The sequence below is a fragment of the Homo sapiens genome, chromosome 4 (assembly GCF_000001405.40).
Source record: "Homo sapiens chromosome 4, GRCh38.p14 Primary Assembly".
Taxonomy (NCBI): domain Eukaryota; kingdom Metazoa; phylum Chordata; class Mammalia; order Primates; family Hominidae; genus Homo; species Homo sapiens.
The window spans coordinates 54,628,078-54,630,796 of NC_000004.12; positions in this window are offsets into that span (position 1 = coordinate 54,628,078).

Consider the following 2,719-nt stretch of genomic DNA (forward strand, 5'->3'; position numbering starts at 1 on the left):
TGAACAATACATATTAATTAATTGGTTAAATAATGCAGTGATTACAAATCATTTTGTATATGCAGAGCTTTCACTAAGTAATTCTGCATGACTTACTAAATGACTGAACTAAAAGCAATGGAGTGAAGTTCACATTGTTTTTTTCGCTATATAATGAAAGCTAACAAATATTAAATGTTTATTATATACCAGGTGCTTAGCTTAGATGATCTCGTTTAATTTTTCCCAACAGCCCTAAGTTGTCAATACTTTTGTTTTTCCCATTTTAGAGACGAGGACACTGAGGCACAAAGAAGTTAAATAACTTCCAAAAGTCTTGCAGCCAAAAGGAGCCAGAACGAGGATGTAGACTGTCATAGTTCATTTTTAAAGTTGATGCTTTTACTCATTCTGCCATAATGCTCACATACGTCTGTAAGTCTCTCAAACCATTGCAGGAAAGTTTTGACAATTCTTTCTTTAAAACATTCAGTCCCATGGATGAAATAATGAATAACTAGCACTTATTGAACAATTACTATGTACAACTGCACATATTAAACCATTTAATTTTGACATTAACCCTATGAAGTTGGCATCGATATTATTCCCACTTTAAAGATGAGGCACAGAGATGTTAAGAAACTTGTCCAAGTTCCCACAGCTAGCAAGTGGCAGAGGCCAGCTTTGAACCCTGGGCTGTCTGGGTTCTGAGTTCATGCTCTTTATCAAGAAATATGCCCAATAAATGACTGAAAGTGTAGGGCAGCATGTAGAATGCTGTTATGGACTCAAGGAGTAGACTTGGCCACTAAACTAACTGTGTGACCTTAGGCTTGAGTTTCTTCATCTGAAAAATAGATGTTCTCCCTGACCCTGCCAGCTTTATAATTCTGTAATTTAACATGTGTGAATTTCTTTATCTTTTCTTCTTTCTTTCTTTTTTTTTTTTTTTCTTCAAGGTCTGACTCTAATTGCCCAGGCTGGACTGCAGTGGCACAATTTTGGCTCACTGCAAACTCTGCCTCCCAGGGTCAAGTGATCCTCCCACCTCAGCCTCCTGAGTAGCTGGGATTAGGAGTGTGCATAACATATCCAGCTAATTTTTCTATTTTTTGTAGAGATGGGGTTTTGCCAAGTTGCCCAGGCTAGTCCTGAATTCCTGAACTCAAGCAATCCATCCTCCTTGGTCTCCCAAAGTGTTGGGATTACAGGCGTGAGCCACCACACCCAGACATGTCTGCATTTAGTAATAAGAGTCCAGAGACAACCATTGCAGTTTCAGAAACAAATGGGTAGAAAAGATCGGTTTTAGGAATTTGAAAAGAGGCAGGAAGGATACACAGGTTTGGAGTTTCATTCAGGAGCCCTGGGATGCCGGAATCCAGAAGTGCTAGGGAGACTTCAAGGAGATGAAGCTACTTGGCAAGAGAACAGCATCTTGATTCCAGCAGGAGAGACAGCTGATGTGGCTTATGGAGATATGAACAGAGGGGCCCCACAGGATTCATCTGGAGCAGAGGTGCCAATGGAGAGGAAGGGGGGAAGAAGTGCAGTGTAGTAGACAACTCTGGCATTGTGTTTTGTGAACTGGGTCCTGATATTGGGGAAAGAGTAGCCACAAATCCATTATTCTTAAAATTCAAGGTTTTATTTATTTTTATTTTATTTTACTTTATTTTGTTTTATTTTATTTTATTTTTGAGACAAAGTCTTGCTCTGTTTCCCAGGCTGGCATGCAGTGGTGCTAACCCTAATCCCACTCCAGGTTCAAGCAGTTCTCCTGCCTCAGCCTCCCGAGTAGCTGGGATTACAGGTGCACACCACGACGCCTGGCTAATTTTTGTATTTTTAGTAGAGACAGGTTTCACTATTTTGGCCAGACTGCTCTCGAACTCCTGACCTCAGGTGATCCACCAGCCTTGGCCTCCCAAAGTGCTGGGATTACAGGCATGAGCCACCAAGCCTGGCCTAAAATTCAAGTTTTATGGTCAAGGCAGCATATAAAGAGCACCCCTAAGGGCTTTGCGGTGGGAGAGACATGGTTTGTTCCCTCCTCCACCACTTTTTAGCCTGGGATCCTGAGAAAGTGCCTTAATATTCTCCTTGGTAAAATAAGGATCATACAGACACTGAAGAGGGACTCAGTAAATGCTATTTTCCATCCCAACGGGCCAGGACGGCTTCTACCCAACCCCACCGTAAACCTAAGAAAATCAAAACCCAACTAACTCCTAGCAGTCAGGAAAATCTTTGACCTTGAAGAGGAATGAAGATGTCATGTTTACTCCTGTTGCTCCTCTCAAGTTGCTGTAGATTTCTCAGAGAGCTTAGCCCTGATCTTGGAGAGGCAGGGATGGGAGTACAGTGATAGGCAGCAAAACAAGCAACCCAAAATTAAAAGAGATGAACTTGCTCCCTATGGTAAGTACGGGAGGGTTCTAACAACATCGGAACAGGGGTTTCCCTTCCTCAGTCCTGTTTCCTCACCGCCATCCCAGGTAGAGTCAGCTAGGCAGATGCTGGCCAATGGCTGACCCACTTCAAAGGGCTGTTCAGAGAATGATATTTGCTTATACAGCTTCTCAGGGTCCCCCAAATGGAAGAAACATCAGGCTTAACGTCACTCCAGGGCAAAAGTGGGGAGATGAGAGTGTCACATACATAGATGCACGAGGACAAGAGGGAGAGAGTGGAAAAAGCCGACCTACATTAGCTTCCTATGGTTGCTACAACAAAT